A 17,592-nucleotide genomic window follows, 5' to 3' on the forward strand; every position below is an offset into this window, starting at 1 on the left:
ATTTCTCTCCATGTGGGCCAGTCTGTGGGCTGCTTGGGCTTCCTCACAGCATGGTGGCTGTGTTCCACAGGTGAGCTTCCAAGGCAAGGTATTTTTATGACCCCACCTTGAAAGTCACATTGTATCATTTATATTGTACTCTATTGGTGGAGACAGTACCAGGGGCTGCCCAGGTCCTAGCGCAGGAGACGAACATTCATCCACTAGGTCAGAAGGGCGAAAATAACGCACTGCAAGGGAGGTACGTGGGGTGGGAGGCGTGGAGACTATCTTCAGAAAATGCAGTATACTATAACCAAGTCCAAACTCACTCTGCTCACTGTATAATAGCCAGTAAGTTGAGAGACAAGGAGTTGGAAAGCAAGGAAAGTGACTTTATTTGGAGAGCCAGCAAAGCAAGAAGACAGACCAGTTTCCTAAGAAACCATCTTAAGTCAGTAAAACGTTCAGCCTCCTTTTATGTTAAGAGGAGGGGAAAAGGAAGGAATTGGGATCAAGAGGTGACCGATGACTGCAGATATCCGTATGCCAACGAGGATCTGTAAAGGCCAGGAACTTCTCTGTCCTTGATCAGCTCACAATGCTCCTGCAAATCTTTAACAAAACCTAGTTAGCTGCTTATACACTTTTCCTTTCATCCCAGAGTTAGTTTCAAAAGCTACTGATTGCTGTTTTTGCATTATTATCTCAGTGCTCTAAAATTATCCCAGCCTACGTGCAGGGTAAAGGATCCTTAAACAAAAATGGGGTGAGTTATACTGGTTCTTCTTCTGTTTAACTGTTACAGTACTACACATGGGAAGGTGAGAGTCTGGGGTACCCTGTTGGTCCTGTGCCTAGAAGGCTTTTTGAGCCTGCAATGCATATTAATGGTCTTTGTCTTTCCCAACACATATTTCCCAACACACATTCACCTCTATTGTTTTGAGACAGAGTCTCACTCTGTCACCAGGCTGGAGTGCAGTGGCATGATCTCGGTTCACTACAACTTCTGCCTCCTGGGTTCAAGCAATTCTTCTGCCTCAGCCTCCCGAGTAGCTGGGACTACAGGTGCCCACCACCACACCCAGCTAATGTTTGTGTTTTTAGTAAAGATGGGGTTTCACCATGTTGGCCAGGATGGTCTCGATCTCTTGACCTCGTGATCCTCCCACCTCGGCCTCCCAAAGTGCTGGGATTACAGGCATGAGCCACCACACCCGGCCACATTCACCTCTATTCTTACTGTTCTCTTTGAGCCCACTTTTCGTCAGCATCCTGGAAGCTATGGTCCCAGTTTACCCTTGCATCCTCTATTTCTGATCCTGTGTCTAGTATTAGCTAACTCTTCATTTTCCCTGTGGAATACAAGCATATCCATTTTTTATTTTTTTGAGACAGGGTCTCGCTCTGCCACCCAGGCTGGAGTGTAGTGTCACGATTATAGCTCACTGCGGCCTCAACCTCATGGGCTCAATCAATCCTCCTGACTCAGCCTCTCAAGTAGTGGGATGACAAGCATATACCACCATGCCCAGCTAATTTTTTTATTTTTAGTAGAGACTGAGTTTCACCACGTTGCCCAAGCTGGTCTCAAACTCCTGGGCTCAAGCGATCCTCCCACCTTGGCCTCCCAAAGTGCTAGGATGACAAGTGTAAGTCACCACACCTGGCCCATATCCATCTCTTAAATAGAAGAGTTTGGTCTATTTGAGCTGCTGCCAGAAATGTAAATCAAAGAGGGAAACTGGTAAAGATTTTCATATACAGGTCCCGGGGGAAAAAAGAGAGTGACAGTTGGCATCAATTAAAAACTGATTGTGGGGTTTTAATTACTGTTATTTCTAACCACTGCTCATTGCCTTGTCTGGCCAGGAACCTGTGTTGGCATTTAAGAAGTCCTTCTGGGCCAGGCGCAGTGGCTCAGGCCTGTAATCCCAGCACTTGGGGAGGCTGAGGCGGGTGGATCACGAGGTCAGCAGATCGAGACCATCCTGGCTAACATGGTGAAACCCCGTCTCTACTAAAAATACAATTAGCCAGGCGTGGTGGTGCACACCTGTAGTCCCAGCTACTCGGGAGGCTGAGGCAGGAGAATCACTTGAATCCAGGAGGCGGAGGTTGCAGTCAGCCGAGATAGTGCCACTGCACTCTAGCCTGGGCGACAGAGCGAGACTCCGTCTCAAAAAAAAAAAAAGAAAGAAAGAAATCCTTCTGTTGCAGGGGCAGATGAGCTCAAAAATGGGGGCTCCACTCAGGAAGATAGTTGGCTTCACCCAAGAAGGAATTCAAGGGTGAGCCAGTGCTAGAAGAAAATAGCTTTATTGGCCAGGCAAGGTGGTTCATGCCTATAGTCCCAGCACTTTGGGAGGCCAAGGTGGGAAGATCACTCGAGCCCCAGAGTTCAAAACCAGCCTGGGCAACATGGAGAAACCCCATCTCTACAAAAAAAAAAAAAAAAAATAGAAAAATTAGCTGGGCATGGTGGTGCATGCCTGTAGTCCCAGCCACTAGGGAGGCTAAGGTAGGAGGATCATCTGAGCCTGGAGAGGTCGAGGCTGCAGTGAGCCATGATCATGCCACTACATTCCAGCCTGGGTGACAGAGTGAGACCCTGTCTCAAAAAAGAAAGAAAGAAAAGAAAACAGCTGGTTTGAGGCAGCAGTGTACAGGCCAGTGACTGTTTCTGCACAGTAGGGTTACCCCCATAGGCAGTGTGTGGAGAGCAGCAGCCCCGAGGCAGTTCTGCCATCATATTTATTCTCATGTTTAATTACATACAAATTAAGGGGTTCTTCAGAAATTTCTAGAAAAAGGGCGGTAACTTCCAGGTGTTGCTATGGCAATGGAGAACTGTCATGGCACCAGTGGGAGTGTCTTGTGAGACGAAAGAGGCGCTTTCCTCTCTTCCCTGTTTCTGCCAGTCTTCAGTGTGGTCCGGAGTCAAGTCAAGCCCCGTCTCCTACCTCATTTCCATGGGTGCACTGATTCTTCTGACATACTAACTGCTTTTAGGGAGAACTTACATTTTAGGGAGGGTAGAGGGACAATAGACACATATGCAATTAAGTGCATAGGCTCATTTTAAATTGGGATATATGCTTTAAGGAAAATAAAAGTGCATAATAGGGCCAGGCACTGGGCTCATGTCTGTAATCCCAGCACTTTGGGATGCTGATACAGGAGAATTGCTTGAGGCCAGGAGTTCAAGACTAGCCTGGGCAACACAGTGAGACCCCACCTCTACAAAAAAAAAAAAATTAAAATTAGCCAGGCATAATGGCACACACCTGCAGTCCCAGGTACTCAGGAGGCTGAGATGGGAGGCTCGCTTGAGCCAGGAAGGTTGAGACTATAGTAAGTTGTGATTGCACGACTGCACTCCAGCCTGGGCAACAGAGTGAGACCCTGTCTCAAAAAAAAAAAAAAAATTTAAGTACATAATGAGGTCGAAAGTAATGTCAGAAATGTGAATAACTGTAGCCAAAATCTAAAATAATATTTGAGAAAAGCTATACTGAGCTGTACTGAGCACCGAGGATTTTCTTCAAAAATCAAGTTACCTTCTAATTGAAAGTGAGAGCGTGACTTGTCTTGCCGCCTGAAGGGTGCCCCTCATGCACTACTCGAAATATTCCTTTCATTTAAACAAAGTTTTTGAGGCCCTTTGTACTCTGCATGTGAACACCAAGGGCAGCCTGATTTAGGAATGAGTTTCATTCTCATTATTCATTAAAGAACATTTGTTTCCTCTCCACCGGGGAGCTCTGCCGACTGTGCAGGCATCTTTTTGACGATTTTCTTTCAATTCTGCTTATTGATCCAATGAAGAATCCCAGTACTTCTCTGGGAGTTGGTTTACATTCTACATTTTAAGACGAGGAGCCAGGAATGTAAGTACAACTGTAAAAAGGAAAAGAAGGCACGATGGAAACAGAGGCTGTGCAGGAGCGTCCGTCTGCCTCGCCGTTATCTCTGGGGCAAGGTGCATTGGCTCCCTGGGGTTCTATGACCACAATAACTGACTTTCATAAAACCCGTGGCAAAGTGAATGATAGAATCTCAAAGCTGTAAATGGCCTAATAAATCATCACATTCAAACGTCCACGCGCTGCAGATATCTCTACCGTAATGTTCCTGATAAACACGCATCCGGTTTCTGTTGGGCCAGGTCCAACGTTGCTAAGACTCCACTATGGCGGCTCCACTTGCCCGGAGCTTTTCCTCTTAAGCGTCACCCGCGGATCCTGATATTGCTTCTGGACTGTCTGCCAGCGCCCCTCCTGCCAGATCCTTCAAGCTGACTCTAATCAGGCCTTTATAGCCACCGTTCCAACTCAATCACCCTTTGTCAATTTCACCAGGCCTTCCATGCTGTCAAACCCAATGCTCAGTCTTCAGCTCTCATCTGATTTGTTCTAGTGGCAGCGTTCCACACAGCCGATCGCTTCCGTCTCATTGAGTCATTTTCTTCATTTGGCTTCCAGGACACCAAAGCCTCTCTGTTTTCCTGCCGCCTCCCCAGCTGTGCCTTCTCCATCCCCTTTGCTTCTTCCTCCTCCCCTTCTCCTCACTTTCTAACTCCGGAGGCCATAATCTCCTCTCTACCTACGCCCCGTCCCTTGGCGACCTCATCCAGACTTGTAGCTTCAAGTCCCATCTACGTGCTGATGGTGCTACAAGTATGTCTCCAGCCCAGTCCTCTCCCAGCAATCTCAGACACAGAATCCAGCTTCCTCCACTTCACTGATGTCCTAACTGTCCTTCCAGCTGGCACCTGCCCTTTAGGGTCGGTTCCAACAGAGTCCTCCATGAAGATGGAGTCAACATTTTACAAGACGCTCGTTGACCTCAGTCATCTCTTACCACTTGTGCTCTGGTTGGTCTTGGAACACTCTGGGCCATCTCAAGGCCTTTGCTCAAGCTTCTCTGTGATTGACTACTTGTCTGAATATATCCACAGGGCCCCTCACTCACCTTTCTGAGCTCAGAGTCTTTACGTTTCAATAACTAGACACGCAATTTTTTTCTTTTGTAATCTCCCGGACTATCTTGAGATTCAGTTTTGTTCTGAGTTTTCTTTTCCTTCCAGATGGAAAATCTCTCTCTTGCTGGACACCATAGGGTAGGGAAAGAAAAAGAAATGGAGGCATGAACTTGAAGATGTGGGGTGTGATCCCCATGCTGGCATGCTCTGGCTGTGTGTGTGTGTGTGTGTGTGTGTGTGTGTGTGTGTGTGTGCTCCTGGGAAAGTTATTATCTTTGGACAATGTTCTCTTTGTGTGTAACATGAAGATAATATCCACCTGAAGGTTTTCATGCAGATTACAGGAGAAAATACATGCGAATTTCCCTGGATGGGTTGGGGGTCACCGCTATACACGAATTCTTGTTCCTTAAGTCTTCTCTTTTTGCTAAAAAAAAAAAACAAAACAAAATACCCTTGTTCCATGTTGATCTTGTTCTTGTGATGGATGACTTGGGGTGTCAACTAGCTGAATTAAAGGATACCCAGTTAGCTGGTAAAGCACTCTGTACTCCCAATCATGGCATGAATTCTTCTGAGTGCTTCTCCAGGCACAGAGACCCTCCCTCTTCTCCTGAAAGCGAAGCCTGGGCAGTTTGGCATTTGATTGGAATGATTGGGCTGCCCCAGGTGTGTCTGCGACGGTTTCTGGAGGCAATTGGCCTGTGAATGGGTGGACTGAGTGGGGAAGATCTGCCCTCAGTGTGGGCAGGCACCATCTAATCCACTGGGGGCCCACATGTAAGGGCAAATTATTGCTCTCTCTTCCAGAGCTGGGAGATCCTCTTCTCTGGTCCAGAGGCATCAGAACTCCAAGCTTTGACTCTCTGACTTTTAGACTCCACGACATGGACAAACAGCCCCTGGGCTCTTAGACCTTTGGCCTTGAACTGAGCATTACACCATCACCTTCTTGTCTCTGAGGATGTGGACTTGGGCTGAGTCACACCACCAGCATCCCAGGGGCTCCAGATTGCAAAGAGCCTGTCATGGGACTTGCCAGCCTCCATAATTGAGGGAGCCAATTATCCTAATGCATCTCCTTCCATGTCTCTCCCTCTATATCTGATTGGTTCTGTCTCCCTGGAAAATCCCAACTAAAACAGACAACATTTTGATATTTTGCCCCAAAGAATGTCGATAACTCTTGGTCTTTTTGCTCCTGACTTAGCTTTCAAAATCCATCATGTTTAGCATTTGTGCACCTCCACCGATTCCGACCCTCGGTCATCTTGACACCATTCTTACAGGCTCAAGCCTATGTTTGATACATACTCCCAGGTACATGATGTTCTTTTCATATCCTCTGTATCTCTTAACCCATCCAAATTAATGAGCATTCTCCCATGTACCAGTGGCCCATCACACAGATTCCATTAGATATTTTCCCATTATCATTTCATTAGGCCCCTTTATAATTGCACAGCCAGAGCTTTGTCATTCACAACTCCCCATGCCAACTGAGCTGCACTTTCATAGACTGTCACTCATAATGAAATTCTAGCAATATATGGTCTCCAAACTGTAAAAGGAAACTTTTCCAAAATCTAGGATATACCTGAGGTGGTGTGCAGCATCCACAGTTTCTTGCTTACATCAGCTCCAAATTCCCCAGTCATGTTCTATAGTTCCTGCAATTTCATGGCATAAATTTGCAATTATTCAAAACATTTCACCCAAAGGAAAAAACTAATCCTGATAAATTCACTGGAAAATATTTCCAGACTTACAAAAACAACCAATAACACCTCCACCACCACCAAAAAAAATTACAACATTTACATGAATGACTTTAAAATCTGAAGAATATATTATGGGACTCATTTTATGAGACAGTGTTTTTCCATTTTTAATGTTGAGTGTGTATTAGGTTTCAGGTACTCTTCTAAACCTTTTAGTTATTATCTAATTTGATTATTTCAGAAACCATAGGAGTTAGACACTCTTTAAAATATTTTTTATTTTAAAATAATTATAGATTCACAAGATGTTGTAAAGGGAGTGCAGAGAGGTCTCACGAAAACGTCAACCAGTTTCCACCAATGGTGACATCTTCTTTTTTTTTTTTTCTTTTTCTTCTTCTTTTTTTTTTTTTTTTTTTTTTTTTTTGTGTGAGATGGAGTCTCACTCTGTCACCCAGGCTGGAGTGCAGTGGTGTGATCTCAGCTCACTGCAACCTCCGCCTCCCAGGTTCAAGCAATTCTCCTGCCTCAGCCTCCTGAGTAGCTGGGATTACAGGTGCCCGCCACCACACCCAGCTAATTTGTTTTATTGTATTTTTAGTAGAGACAGGGTTTCACCATGTTGGCCAGGCTGGTCGCAAACTTCTGACCTCATGATCCGTCCGCCTCAGCCTCCCAAAGTGCTGAGATTACAAGCGTGAGCCACAGCACCCACCCAGTGACATCTTAATTATAGCAGAATACAGAAAAACAGGAGTTGACATTGGTACAACATGTGCAAGCACTTCCATGTCATCTTATCACATGTAGGTTTGTATAATCACCACTATAATCGAGACACAGAACGGATCTATCCTGACAAAGATCTGCGTCATTCCACCCCTTTCTAGCCACTCCTCAGCCTCCATCATCCCTAATGCCAGCAACCACTAATTTATTCTCCATCTTTATGATTTTGGCATTTTGAGAATATTATAGAAATGGAATTATACAGGATGTGACCTTTTGGGACTGGCTTTTTCACTCATCATAATGCCCATGAGATCCAGCCAAGTTGTTGCCTGTGTCAATAGTTTATTTCTGGCCAGGTGCAGTGACTCACACCTGTAATCCCAACACTTTGGGAGGCCGAGGCAGGTTGATCACCTGAGGTCAGGAGTTTGAGACCAGCCTGGCCAACATGGTAAAACCTTGTCTCTACCAAAAATACAAAAATTAGCTGGTCATGATGCTGGGTGCCTGTAGTCCCAGCTACTCGGGAGGCTGAGTCAGGAGAATTGCTTGAACCCAGAAGGTGGAGGTTGCAGTAAGCTGAGATTGTGCCATTGCACTCCAGCCTGGGCAACAAGAGTGAAACTCTGTCTCAAAAAGAAAAAAAAAAGTTTATTTCTTTTAGTAGGGAGCAGTATTCCATGGGATGGATGCACCACAAAACACCAATTAACCATTCACCTATTGAGGGACATTTTGGTTGCTTCTAGTTTGGGGCTTGATATATTTTAGATATTTGTCCCCACCAAATCTGATGTTGAATTCTAATCCCCAATGCTGGAGGTGGGGCCTGGTGGGAGGGTACTGGATCATGGGGGCGGATCCCTCATGGTTTGGTGCTATATTTGTGATAGTGAATTCTCACTAGATCTGGTCATTGAAAAGTGTATGGCACCTTTCCCCAGTACTCTCTCTCTCTCTTGCTCTGGCCGTGTGACGTGCGTACTCTCCCTTCACTGCCCGCCATGATTGGAAGCTTCCTGAGGCCTTCCCAGAAGCTGAGCAGATGCCAGCACCAAGCTTCCTATACAGGCTGCAGAAACATGAGCCAATTAAACCTCTTTTCTTTATAAATTACCCAGTCTCAGGTTTTTCTTAAAACAACACAAGAATGGCTTAATACAGGACTATTACAAATAATACTGCTATGAACATTTGATTACAAGCTTCAAGTAGACACAACTTTTCATTTTTCTGGGATAAATGCCCAGGAGTACAATTGCTGAACCATATACTAAGCATATGTTTAGTGTGCCAATTTTCCAGAGTGCCTGTATCATTTTACAGGTACCACAAAGCAACATACGAGAGTTCCAGTTGCTCCATGTCCTCACCATCACTTGGTGTTGTCAGTTTTTTAAATTTAGCTCTTCAGATAATTGTGTACTGATATCTCATTATGACCACAGATTTGCATCTCCCTAACAGCTGGTGACATTGAGCATCTTTTCATGTGCTTATTTGCCACCCATATAAACCCTTTGGTGAGATGTTTGTTCATATCTTTGGTTCATTTTCTAAATGGATTGTTTAATTTGTTTTGCTGTTGAGTTTTGAGAGTCCTATAATATTTGCAGATATGAGTCTTTTTCCTGATATATGGTTTGTACATATTTTCTTCTAGCTCGTAACTTGTCTTTTCATCCTCCTCACATGGTCTTTCATAGAACAAATGTTCTTAATTTTAATGAAATTCAGTTCGTGATATTTTTCTTTTATAGATCGTGCCTCTGGTGCCATGTCTAAGAACTCATCATCAAGCTCAAGTTTCTGAAGACTTTTTCCTGTGTTTCCTTTTCAGCATTTTATAGTTTTATATTTACATTTAAGTTCATTATCCATTTGGGGTTAATTTTTGTGTAAGGTCCAATGTTTAGGTTAAGATTCGCTTTTTGAAAAGACTGTTTTTCTCCCCATTGAGTTGCTTGTTCACTGTTATAAAAATAAAATCAAATAAGAGTTTTGTTTGTTTCTGACGAGAAATTCACTGACATTCAAAAAACTTTTTCCCCTACGATAAGGTGTCATTTCTCTCTGGCTTCTTTCAAGAGCTTTTCTTTTCTTTTGTTTTCACAAGTTTGACTATGATGTGTCTTTGGATTTATCCTGCCTAAGATCTATTCAGCCTCTTGAATCTGTACACATGTGCTTTTTTAGCAAATGTGGGGATTTTTCAGCCATTATGCCTTCAAATAATTTCTCAGCTGCACTCTCTCTTCCACCTCTCCTTCTGGTAATCCAAGGATTTGAATATTATTTCCTTGGCTATAGCCCCACAGATCCCTGGAGTGCTGCCCTTTCTCATTTTTTTAAGTTTATTTTCTCTGTTTGCAGAGTAGTTCATTTCTACTGTTTTATCTTAAAGTTCACTGATTCTTCCCTCTGTCTTCTTTATTCTGCTCTTGAGCCCATCCATTGAGTTTTTTTCTTTTAATTATTATATTTTTCTTTACATTATCCATTTCTCTGCTGAGACGCCCTCCCCTTTTATCTTTTGGCTTGAGCATGTTTATGATTTCTCACTGAAGCATTTTTATGATGCCTGCTTTTCAATCCTGGTGAGATCATTCTGACATCTATTTTATCTCAGCATTGGTGTCTTTTGGTTGCTTTTTCTCATTCAAGCTGAGATATTCCTGGTTCTTGGCATGACAAGTGATTTATCTTGAAACCTGGACATTCTGAGTATTGTATCAGGTGACTGTAGCTCTTACTTAAATCTTATGTTTGGGCAGGCCTCCTCTGACACAGCTCTGGTGGGTGAAGGGGGCAGCACTCTCTTACCACCAGGTGGGAGTGGAAGTCCCGTCCCTGCCTCAGCTGTCATTGGCACTACGTGGGGAGGGACTTCTCACTACTGCTGGGCAGGGTGGGAGTTCAGGATCACCCCTGGGCTCTACTGATACTGTCACTGGGAAGTGCAGGAATCCTCAGTTCTTGCCTAATGTGGGAGAAAGAATTCAGCCAAGAGACAATTCGTAATCCAAGCAAAGGTCTTGCTTTTGTTTTTGTTTTGAGACAGAGTCTCGCTCAATTGCCCAGGCTGGAGTGCAGTGGTGTGATCTCATCTCACCGCAGCCTCCACCTCCCAGGTTGAAGTGATTCTCCTGCCTCAGCCTCCCGAGTAGCTGGGATTACAGGCATGCACCACCATGCCTGGCTAAGTTTTGTATTTTTGGTAGAGACAGGGTTTCACCATGTTGGCCAGGTTGGTATTGAACTCCTGACCTCAAGTGATCCGCCCACCTTGGCCTCCCATTATGCTGGGATTATAGGCGTAAGCACTGTACCCAACCTCAAAAGGTTTATTAAGGAGATACAAGCACACCCCAAGAGGGAAGCAGGCTGACCCGTCTGGAAAACAGCTCCAGGCTGGTCAGGCTGGAAACATAGCAGTAGCAGCATTTACTTAAAGGGATGGTGCACTCTGAAAGAGATGAGACAGAGCGGGCTGCTGGGGGACTGTCTTTAGAGAATCTTACATGATTTTTCCTACAGGGGCAGGAGGGGGCGTCACTTGCAATCATGTTTTGGGTAGTCACCTTGGGTTTGCACACTCTGTGGTTGTGCATGCTGGTCCACACATCACATGTCTCATATGCATGCAAAGTCTCCACCCAAGGATGAGCTTTTTATTATCATAATGAGCAACAGGATATCCTCGGGCAAGGTTTTGGAGGAGTGGGCATGCTCATCAGCACGGGAAGTCCCTACCGTGGTTATCTCTGACTAGGGCTCGATAAACCCCGTCGGAGCCGGAAGAGCCCAACCACAAGGCCGGAAGTAGCCAGTGCAGCCTTCATCTTTTTCTCTGACTGTCAAAGGGCAGCATCTCCAAGACGTTTTTTCCCAGGAGCTCCTTTGCCTGTCTATTTCCGACCCTTTACCTCCTCTAACAACACCTTTCTAGCTGAGAGGGGCAAAGGTTCACCATGACTGTTCCCTGTGTGGCCACCATGGACAAGCAGAGGGATGACCTCATTACCGCTGGGCAGTAGTGAAGGCTCTGACTCCTAATAGGCCTCCTCTGACACCAGCCGATTACCAAGCAATTGATGTGCTTGCTGCCCAATGTGCACAGAGGCCAATACCATGGCACCAGCTTTTGAGAAGAGAAAAGCTGGCCGGGCACAGTGGCTCACGCCTGTAATCCCAGCACTTTGGGAGGCCGAAGCGGTGGATCACCTGAGGTCAGGAGTTTGAGACCAGCCTGGCCAACCTGGTGAAACCCCGTCTCTACTAAAAATACAAAATTAGCTGGGCGTGGTGGTGGGCACCTGTAATCCTAGCTACTCAGGAGACTTAGACAGGAGAATCGCTTGAACCTGGGAGGTGGAGGTTGCAGTGAGCTGAGGTCCTGCCATTGCACTCCAGCCTAAGGTACAAGAGCAAAACTCCGTCTCAAAGAAAAAAAAAAATAGAAAAGCTTTATTTGAGTTGACCAGCAAGGAATGGGAGGAAATGCTCCAATCTGTCTCCCTGAGCTGGGGGCTGGGTTGGGCTTTATAAGCATAGGGCAATGAGGTGTGATCTGATTGGATCCTGCCAGAGGGTGATGCCAGGGCTCAATCTCATTGGATCCTTGATCCTGCCATGTGGTGTCTGCTTCTTTTTTTTTTTTTTTTGGGACGGAGTCTTGGAGTCTCGCTCTGTCCCCCAGGCTGGAGTGCATAGGCGTGATCTCAGCTCACTGCAAGCTCCGCGTCCCAGGTTCACCCCATTCTCCTGCCTCAGCCTCCCTAGTAGCTGGGACTACAGGCACCCGCCACCACACCTGGCTAATTTTTTGTATTTTTAGTAGAGACGGGGTTTCACCATGTTAGCCAGGATAGTCTCGATCTCCAGAACTCATGATCCACCCGCTTTGGCCTCCCAAAGTGCTGGGATTACAGGCGTGAACCACTGTGCCCGGCCTTGGGGTCTGCTTCTTAATCCAGTCCACGCTTCTCCTTCCAACCACTTAGGGTACCCTTGTGGCTGCACCCTTGGTTCATCTGGGCATGCTCAGGTTATGTGACCTTCAACCTTGGGCCCCATGGCAACTGAAAAACAACTCACAAGTTTGTTACATGGATGTTGAACCAGGGCCAGCATGGTGGCGCATGCCTGTAATCCCAGCACTTTGAGGTTGAGGCAGGAGGATCACTTATGTTCAGGAGTTCAAGACTAGCCTAGGCAACATAATGAGACCCCCATCTCCACACACACACACACAAAGTTGAACCAGATTGGTCTGATGTGGTTAAAACCCCAGCAAGAAAGGGGAAGAGAGGGTGTCCTGTTGCTCCTGGGTGGAGATGAAGATCCAGGCCCCCTGCGTGGTTTCTACTGACCCAGCATGGTGGAAGAGGGACATGTTGTTGCTACTCAGTGGGGACGAATGTCCTGGTTTCACTCTACGCCTTTGCTGACATCATTCAGTGGGATATGGGTCCTGTCATTACAGCCTGGTAAGGATGGGAGTCTAGGCTCCCCACTCAAGCCTTGCTGGCAGAGTGGACATAGGGGAACACACTATGTTCTGTGGTTATTGGGCTGGGGTAGAGTGATTACTGTCTGAAAGTTTTCTGTCTTGACAGACTTCTCCTTTCCTGGTCCCCTGGCTAGAGAACAGACTTGTATTCAGGCTTTAAAAATTCTGTAGCTATTGGCATTTCCTGTTGCTGGCCCCTCTGATACCCAATCAGAAATAGAAAAAAAAAAAGAAGAAGAAAATGTAGGGAACTGACCATCAAGTCATTCTTTTTTTTTTTTTTTTTTTTTTGGAGACAGAGTCTCACTCCGTTGCCAGGCTGGAGATCTCGGCTCACTGCAACCTCTGCCTCCTGGGTTCAAGCAATTCTCCTGCCTCAGCCTCCTGAGTAGCTGGGACTACAGGCCGCCACCTCCACGCCCAGCTAATTTTTTTGTATTTTAGTAGAGACGGGATTTCACCATGTTGGCCAGCATCGTCTCGATCTGCTGACCTCATGATCCACCCGCCTCGGCCTCCCAAAGTGCTGGGATTACAGGCGTGAGCCACCACGCCCAGCCCACCATGTCATTCTTTGTGTCTGGGAGTCCCTGGCCAGTCTGCCTTCTTCTCTCCCCCTTTCAGAGTCTTCTTATGTTTGTTTTTTGTTTTGTTGTCGTTGTTTGTTTGTTTGTGGCAAAATAAACATAATATAAAAGTTGCCTATTTCAATTACTTTCTTTTTGTTTTTGTTTTTTGGCTTTTGTTTGTTTCAGAGATGGTGTCTCATGCTTTTGTCCATGCTGCAGTGCAGTGGCACAATCATAGCTCACTGTAGCCTCAAATTCCTGGGCTCAAGCAATCCTCCCACCTCAGCCTCCCAAGCAGCTGGGATTACAGGTGCACACAACCACATCTGGCTAATATTTTAAATCTGTTGTAGAGGTCTTGCTATGTTGCTCAGGCTGGTCTCAAACTCCTAGCCCCAAGCCATTTCAACCATTTTTAAATGGTTTACTAGCATTAAGTGCAGTCACCTTGTTGTCTTACGGCTGTCTTGCATTTGACATCCTGGGTTTTTCATTGTAATTGTCAAGATGAATAGGGAAAAGCACGTCTACTCCATCAAGTGGAAGTTAAAGGGATATTTTTAAGACTGCGAGCCAACAGTACACTTCATGGAGAAGCATGAGACAGTATGAAAATGTGATTAGTTCCTTTAAGTCAAAGGGTCAAGATTTGCTCATTCCTTTCCAGTATCGAGTAGATGCTAAGCAATGTGTCCTAATTCAGGTGGAGTTCTGGGCTGGGCACAGTGGCTCACACCTGTAATTCCAGGACTTTGGGAGGTCGAGGTGGGTGGATTACCTGAGGCTGGGCGTTCAAGACCAGCCTGGCCAACCTGGTGAAACCCTGTCTCTACTAAAAATACAAAAATTAGCTGGGTGTGGTGGCGGGTGTCTGTAATCCCAGCTACTTGGGAGGCTGAGGCAGGAGAATAGCTTGAACCCAGGAGACGGAGGTTGCAGTGAGCCAAGATCACGCCATTTCACTCCAGCCTGGGCAACAAGAGCAAAACTCCGTCTCAAAAAAAAAAAGGTGGAGTTCTGGATGAATCAATCGTTAACCTTGTGGGTGCCCTTGCTGGGTCTCCGCAGTAATTACCACTGTGGTGTGTCCTGTATCTCTTTCCTGTGAAAGGCCAGATAGCCAGAGAATCAATGCCCTCCAAATATAACCCCAAATGATGGCCAACGGCACCTGATGTACAAATGTCCCAGCTCCCCCATCCATTGGGTAGGGTAACACTGAGGTGCGTGTTCCACAGTGGCAGAGTTCTCCAGGGGGCATGAACTTCAGGTATCCACATGGCACGTTGCTTGATAATGGACCCTGTATTGACTGTTTTGCCTTCTCCTTCCCTCCCATTGTTTTTCCAAATAAACTTGAACTTGCCTTAGGATATACCTCTGGGGAAAGCCCAACTGTGCTATATTCATGTTGGGAAAATCTAGGAGCATTTCAATGAGTTTCCAATTTAGCAAAGATCCCATATCCTGCCTCATTCTGGAAAAGTGTAGGACACCCCAGCCCTCACTCCTCCCTTCACTATTTCTCTGATAGTTCTCTTATTCACTCCTCTCTCTGCCTACTCTCCATGGCATCTGACTATATAGCAGGGATTCCACCATATGTCCTTTGGGTAAGAAACTGAAGTTGACTGTCACGGATGCCAACAACCTTTATGCCTGTCATCATCTCCAACGTACAGTGGAGTCAGGATACCTGAGCCAGTTTTCCTGCATATCTGCTTTGGCTCTTAGTCCCTTATCTTTGTTTGTTTGTTGTTTGTTTTGTTTTTGAGACAGGGTCATGCTCTGTTGCCCAGGCTGGAGGGCAGTGGTGCAATCTCAGCTCACTGCGACCTCCACCTCCTGGGTTCAAGTGATTCTCCTGCCTCAACCTCCAGAGCAGCTGGGACTACAGGCACGCAACACCATGCCCAACTAACTTTTGTATTTTTAGTAGAGACGGGGTTTCACCATGTTGGCCAGGCTGGTCTCAAACTCCTGACCTCAGGTGATCCACCCACCTCAGCCTCCCAAAGTGTTGGGATTACAGGCATGAGCCACCACGCCCAGCCAGTTCCCTTATCTTTGCATCAGAGATATTAATAACAGTAGTTACATGCACTGATGCTTGTGGAAGTGCTCAGCAGTGTCTGCACATGCTTGGCAACCAGTTGATCTACAAATGTTACTCTCCTTCCTTCCTCTGTAACAGCAAGGCAATCATTTCTAAGAACCCCATTTCTAAGATCAGTTTTCAAAGAATAACTAATATGTGAATAAGTTTTTTCATCCAATTGCATGGATTACTCAAGGAATCAATATTTACATCTAATCATGTACTGATCATTATATCTCTGCTATAGGCACCACAGGGCCACGGGTTATGGTAAGAGGAAAAACATCACAAGTTTCCTTTCTCTTTTTTTTAAGGCTCTAGACAATTCCATCTCATACACTGAGTAGCCTGATCTATATTCATGATCAAGGAGAGCTTGAGCGAAGGCTTAAGATTTTCAGTGTCATATTTCAAATCGGATTTTCGAAGTGTGAGTAGATATCAGCTATGTGGGCCTGAAAGTTCTCATTACCATACCAGTGACAGTTCAGGGAAATTTACGAACTTGGAACTTGCTTACGAGGAGAAATAAAAGCAGTTCTGTGTACCCTACAACCCAGCCAGGAGTCTTGAAACGCCACCAATGACATATGGTTTTCTCTAGGGTGCAATCTGGTGAATTCTCACTCTTTTACTTAAATTGGGACGGTTGCACCAGCTGCTTCATATAATGCTTTACAGTGGGAAACATCTACAAGACATTACTCTTCAATACTACAAGGAAAGATGAGATTTTATAAGTTTAACTGCTTCTTGACAGCAAAGACAAAACTTCCTCTTATTACATTACAGTAGTCAATTTCACCTCCCAGGGAGATTAAGATGGGGATACCAAGGACTCTTAGAAAATAGACTGGTTATGCTTACAGAGCATTCTCCTAATTTCTTCTTTTTTTCTTAAAAGTTTTTTACCGCCTTGGTCTTCCTACTAGTGTGGGTTGTGAGAACACACAAACTCTTTCCAATTGTTCCTCATCAATGATGACATAGAGGAAGTGAGTCCCAGAGGAGTAAAGTTCTGGGAAGTAGAATTACAACTCAGCTTAAGCATTTTACCAGTTAGTGATTTTTTTCAAAATTGTAGAATATTTACTTGATGATCATGTAGAAAACACAGATTCTTGATATATTAATAAGGGATTACTGAAGAAATATGCTGCAGGAAATATACAGGCCAACCCACATTTCTGTTTTCTAATTAGATACCATCCTATTGATAATGTGCCCCTTAGTGTAATTATGTAAGAAATGCCTCTGTATACATAAATGATGGGTATATATCTAGATGTTATCTCTGACTTCTCAAACTTCCAAAGCATTTATAGCTCTTTCATAACAATTGTTCCATATCATTTTGTATAATTGTTATTTGTGGGCGTGACTTATCTTCCCTACTAACATACAAAGTCCTTGAAGATAGAGTTTGTCTTACACAATATATGCAACTCACATGGTATAAAATTCAAAATGAGGCCCTATAAGTATGTTCTAAATAAATGGTTCTGAGTTTTACCAATAAGAACTCACTTTTAGACAAGGATACCCATTCTCACCACTTCTACTCAATATAGTACTGAAAGTCCTAGCCACAACAATTAGGCAAGAAAAAGAAATAAAAGATATCCAATCCAAAAGGAAGAAGTAAAATTATCTTTTTTTTCAGATGACATGATTTAATATGTAGGAAACCCTACAAACTCTACAGGAAAAACATCTTGTTAGAACAAATAAATGCATTCAGTAAAGTTGGAGGATATGATAATAATACAAACCAACATACAAAATCAAATGCTATCAGTTGTATTTCTACATACCAACAATGAACTATGTGAAAAGTAAATTATGTAAACAATCTCACTTACAATAGCACCAAAAAGAATAAAATACTTGGAAACAAATTTAAATAAATTTCACCAAAAAGGAAAGAGTTATAAAATATTGATGAAAGAATATTAAACTATAGAACTATAAAATATTGATGAAAGAAAATAGAG

General features: G+C 44.6%; 1 long non-coding RNA gene across 1 annotated transcript; it reads right to left on the minus strand.

The window, feature by feature from the left end:
• Window positions 1-353: 353 nt before the first annotated feature.
• On the minus strand, window positions 354-3,963 carry LOC124901578 (uncharacterized). The gene is made up of 2 exons (XR_007060197.1): window positions 3,543-3,963; window positions 354-594 (listed from the first exon to the last, which is right to left on the minus strand). It is a non-coding gene; the product is annotated as an uncharacterized LOC124901578 (long non-coding RNA).
• Between the last annotated feature and the right edge of the window lie 13,629 nt (window positions 3,964-17,592).

This window comes from Homo sapiens, chromosome 7 (genome assembly GCF_000001405.40).
Source record: "Homo sapiens chromosome 7, GRCh38.p14 Primary Assembly".
In the NCBI taxonomy this organism is placed as follows: domain Eukaryota; kingdom Metazoa; phylum Chordata; class Mammalia; order Primates; family Hominidae; genus Homo; species Homo sapiens.